The sequence below is a fragment of the Homo sapiens genome, chromosome 1, assembly GCF_000001405.40.
Source record: "Homo sapiens chromosome 1, GRCh38.p14 Primary Assembly".
In the NCBI taxonomy this organism is placed as follows: Eukaryota; Metazoa; Chordata; class Mammalia; order Primates; family Hominidae; genus Homo; species Homo sapiens.
Genome location: NC_000001.11, coordinates 153376905 through 153382263, shown reverse-complemented (window position 1 = coordinate 153382263; position 5359 = coordinate 153376905). Strand labels below are relative to the sequence as shown.

At 41.4% G+C, this 5359-nt stretch overlaps 1 pseudogene, besides 1 other annotated feature; it reads left to right on the top strand.

The window, feature by feature from the left end:
- LAPTM4BP1 (lysosomal protein transmembrane 4 beta pseudogene 1) lies at positions 1289 to 2645 on the top strand (annotated as a pseudogene).
- Positions 1710 to 1880: a silencer, noted in NCBI's record as "fragment chr1:153352860-153353030 (GRCh37/hg19 assembly coordinates)". NCBI's record gives its function as "represses an EF-1alpha promoter that drives an FKBP-Casp9 reporter gene in an ReSE screen in K562 erythroleukemia cells {active_cell/tissue: K562}" and the evidence as "EXISTENCE:reporter gene assay evidence [ECO:0000049][PMID:32094911]".

Below are 5359 nucleotides of genomic sequence, written 5' to 3'. Positions count from 1 at the left end.
GTTGAATAGGAATAGTGAGAGTAGACATCCTTGTCTTGTTCCAGTTCTTAGGCAGAATGCACCTAACTTATGCTTATTCAGTATGATGTCAACTGTGGGTTTGTCATAGATGGCTCTTATTATTTTGAGGTATGTTTCTTTGATGTCTATTTTATTGAGAGCTTTCATCATGAAGAAATGTTGAATTTTTATTGAATGCTTTTCTGCATTGATTGAGATGATCATATAGTTTTTGTTTTTAATTCTGTTTATGTGGTGAATCACATGTATTTATTTGCATATGTTGAACCATCCCTGCATTCCAGGAATAAAGCCCACTTATTTGGGAAATCAACTTTTTGATATGCTGCTGTATTTGGTTTTCTAGTATTTTGTTGAAGAGTTTTATGTCTATGCTCATCAGGGATATTGGTCTGTAGTTTTCTTTTTTTGTTGTGCCTTTGCCAAATTTTGGTGTCATGAGGATATTGGTTTCATAGAATGAGTTAGGGAGGAGTCCCTCCTTGATTTTTTGTAATAGTTTCTTTAGGATTGATACCAGGTCTTCTTTGTAGATCTAGTAGAATTTGACTATGAATCCGTCTGATACAGGGTTTTTTGTTGTTGCTATTGTTGGTAGGTGTTTTATTACTGATTTATTTTCATTACTTGTTATTGGTCTGTTCAGAAATTCTATTTCTTCTTGACTCAGTCTTGGGAGGTTGTGTTTCCAGGAATGTATTGATTTCCTCTAGATTTTCTAGTTTGTACTCATAGAGAGGTTCATATCTCTGAGGATCTCTTGTATTTCTGTGGAATCGGTTGTAATGTCACCTTTGTCATTTCTGATTGTGTTTATTTCGATCTTCTCTCGTTTTCTTTGTTAATCTAGCTAATGGTCTATCAATCTTGTTTATCCTTTCAAAAAAGCAAGTTTTCCTTTCACTGATCCTTTGTATGGCTTTTTGGGTCTCAATTCACTTAGTTCTGCTCTTATTTTAGTTACTTCTTTTCTTCTGCTAGCTTTGAGCTTAGTTGTTCTTGTTTTTCTAATTACTTTAGGTGGAGGTTGGGTTGTTAATTTGAGATCTTTCTATTAATATCTTCTTTATATATATATATTTTTTATTATACTTTAAGTTCTAGGGTACATGTGCACAATGTGCAGGTTTGTTACATATGTATACATGTGCCATGTTGGTGTGCTGCACCCATTAACTCGTCATTTACATTAGGTATATCTCCTAATGCTATCTCTCCCCCCTCCTCCCACCCCGCTTGATATAGGCATTTAGCGCTATAAAATTCCCTCTTGGGAGGATAGAGGAGCGAGGCTGGCGGGCACACCGGTGAGCGGGCCGGAAGCCGGAGCAGCCGAGGAGTCTGCAGCAGCCGCGTGGCGGAGTCTGGGCGAGGAGGTCAACGCTCCTGGAAACTTGGGCTCGTCCTCGCGCCTCTGCTCCAGGAGCAATGACGATGGTCACGCCCTGGTCGCACCCTGGATGCGGTTCTACTCCAACAGCTGCTGCCTGTGCCTCCATGTCCGCACCAGCACCATCCTGTTAGGTGTCTGGTACCTGATCATCAACGCCGTGGTACTCCTGATTTTGTTGAGTGCCCTGGCTGATCCGGATCAGTATCACTTTTCAAGTTCTGAACTGGGAGGTGATTTTGAGTTCATGGATGACGCCAATACGTGCATTGCCATTGCGATTTCTCTTCTCATGATACTGATATCATGAGAATTAAGGCTAATTACGTAATTAAGGCTAATTACGAAGCATACAGGCAACACGCATTCTGGATCATCCCATTCTTCTGTTACCAGATTTTTTTTTTTTTCCGAGACGGAGTCTCGCTCTGTCGCCCGGGCTGGAGTGCAGTGGTGCGATCTCAGTTCATTGCAAGCTCCACCTCCCGGGTTCACGCCATTCTCCTGCCTCAGCCTCTCCGAGTAACTGGGACTACAGGCGCCAGCCACCACGCCCGGCTAATTTTTTGTATTTTTAGTAGAGACGGGGTTTCACCGTGGTCTCCATCTCCTGACCTCCTGATCCACCCCCTTCGGCCTCCCAAAGTGCTGGGATTACAAGCGTGAGCCACCGCACCTGGCCCTGTTACCAGATCTTTGATTTTGCTCTGAACACCTTGGTTGCAATCACTGTGCTTGTTTATCCAAACTCCATTCAGGAATACATACGACAACTGCCTCCTAATTTTCCCTACAGAGATGATGTCATGTCAGTGAATCCACCTGTTTGGTCCTTATTATTCTTCTGTTTATTAGCATTATCTTAACTTTTAAGGGTTACTTGATTAGCTGTGTTTGGAACTGCTGCAGATAGATGAACGGCAGGAACTCCTCCGATGTCCTGGTTTATGTTACCAGCAATGACACTAAGGTGCTCCTACCCCGGTATGATGATACCACTGTGAATGGTGCTGCCAAGGAGCCGCCGCCACCCTAGGTGCTGCCAAGGAGCCGCCGCCACCCTAGGTGTCTGCCTAAGCCTTTGAGTGGGCGGAGCTGGGGGCAGCAGCTTGACTTTTCAGATATCTGAGCAATAGTCATGTTATTTCACTTTTCAGGTGAGCTCTCTGCGCTTGTTTGTTGCCGAAGTGCTACTTTTTAAGATTTAGATGTTAGGTTGAAACCTGTAGTTTTCCTCAACATATGCTTTGTTAGAACACTGTGATAGATTGGCTGTAGAATACTTTCTGTAGGATTGGGGGTGTAACAGGCTTCACTAACCCTCCCTAGGAATGTAAACTTCCCCCAAATCTAGATGGACCTAGAGTCAGAGAAGTCTGCTTTCATACCTGTGGGACCCCAAAGTTGGGCAGTTAGTCATACGTTTCTCTCTGTTCCCTCTCTTTTGAAAGTGTAAAATAAAACCAAAAATAGACAACTTTTCTTAAACCTTTCCAATGTAGAGAACAAAATCTTACGAAAACAGGAATGCCAATTCTGTAATCATTTTTCTAATTAGGTAAATAGAAGTCCTTATGTATGTGTTTCAAGAATTTCCCCCATAACATCCTTTATGACAAGTTCAATGGCAGTTTGTGTTTGGTGGTAAAGGATTTTCTCCATGGCCTGACTTAAAACCATTGGAAAGCACCAGGCAGTGGGAGCAGTAACCACCTGATGTCTGTTCTCCTGCATCCCCTGTCCAGGGTCATGGGGCGGCGTGCCTCATCTATGTTAGAGGGTAAAACTGATGTGTTTAGTGCTGCGTGGGATCTGGTGCTCCTCTTCAGGATTCACATCCCCACCCAGGGCCTGCTTTTACTGAGTGTTCTGCCCTAGCCTGGTTCAAGGAAGTCATGCAACTGACTTTATCAAGTGGAATTGGGATATATTTGTTATATATTTACCTAAAAACATGGAAAGGATTTTCCTCCTTCTTCCCCTGCAAGGTACATTCTACAGCTTTGAACTTCCAAGTATGCCTAGTCACCTTTTAAAATGTAAAAGTTTTCAGAAAAATGAGGATTGCTTTCCTTTTATGCACTTATTATCTTGACTACCTAAGTTGCAAGGTATTTTTATATATTCATATGTTCAAAAGCCAGCAACTCTCCTGTTGGTCCATTATTGAATGTGCTGTGAATGAAGTCTTTTGCAATTAAAATGAGATTCGCCCACATCCAAGATGAAAAAAAAAATTCCCTCTTAACACTACTTTTGCTACATTCCAGATGTTTTGATATGTTGTGTTGTGTCTCTATTTTTGTATGTTTCAAAGAATTTTTTGATTTCTGCCTTAATTTTGTTGTTTAACCAAAAGTCAGGAACAAGTTGTTTAGTTTCCATTTATTTGTGTGGTTTTGAGAGTTCCTCTTGGTATTGATTTCTATTTTTATTCCACTGCGGTCCAAGATTCTTGGTATGATTTTGATTTTTTTGAATTTATTGAGATTTGCCTTATGACTGAGCATGTGGTTGATCTTAGAGTATGTTCCATGTGCAGATGAAAATAATATATATTCTGTGGTTGTTGGGTGCATTGTTCTATAGATGTCTATTAAGTCTAATTGGTCAAGTGTCAAATTTAAGTCCATAATTTCTTTGTTAGTTTTCTGCCTTGATGATTTGTCTACTGATGTCAGTGGGGTGTTGTCCCCTGCTATTATTGTGTGGCTGCCAAAATCTTTTCTTAGATGCAGAAGTACTTATTTTATAAATCTGGGTGCTCCAGTGTTGGGTGTGTATTTATTTAGGATGGTTAAATTTTCTTGTTAAATCGAACCCTTTATCACTATGTAATGCCCTTCTTTATCCTTTTTTACTGTTGTTGGCTTACAGTCTATCGGATCTGATTCAAGAATAGCAACCTCTGCTCTTTTTTGTTTTCTGTTTGCATGATAGATCTTTCTCCATCCCTTTACTTTGAATCTACAGGTGTCATTACACATGAGACAGGTGCTTGAAGACAGCAGAAGGATGGGTCTTGTTTTTAAATCGAATTTGCCAAGGTATGTGTTTTAAGTGCAGTGTTTAGGCCATTCACATTGGAGGTTAATATTTGTATGTGAGGCTGTGTTCCTGCTTTTTTGATTTCTATTTTTTTTTTTTGAGAGGGAGTCTCACTCTGTTGCCCAGGCTGGAGTGCAGTGGCGCGATCTCGGTTCACTGCAAGCTCCGCCTTGTGGGTTCACGCCATTCTCCTGCCTCAGCCTCCTGAGTATCTGGGACTACAGGTGCCTGCCACCATGCCTGGCTAATTTTTTGTATTTTTAGTAGAGATGGGGTTTCACCATCTTAGCCAGGATGGTCTCGATCTCCTGACCTCGTGATCCGCATTTAGCAACCTCTTGCCTGGATGGCTGGGATCCTGGGCTAGTCCCTTCTCCAGGCAGATGTGAAAAAAAAAAAACATCTCAGGATCCCAAACTTACTAAGCCAGAGGGAAAAGTCAAGCTGGGAAATGGGTCATGCAAGCCTGCCCCCACCCAGGTTGGTTTCTAAATAAGATAGCTACAAAGATAAAAAGCCATACACCAATCTCACAACTTGCCCACAAGGAAATTCCTTGTGAGCCTCAAGATCTTTACCCTAAAACAGTTCTATTGAATTTCACCCTGGCAGTGTAATTGACAGCTTATCTTCACAGGTGTGGGACAAAGGGCAGAACATAAAGTCATCCCTCTGCTCACCCAAGACAAATCCATATCTGATTGCTTCCTCTCCCCTATTTTTGTTATCTTATGTAAAAATGCAGATTCACTGAGCCAGATGAAGGCATAAGTGACTATTTCCTCTACTCCGCTCCCACATGAAAATTGTGTATTCAGTGAAAGATTGATCAAAGACTCAAAAGGATGCAATCACTTGTCTCTTATCTACTGACACATTTAAAAAATATTTCTTCCTCTT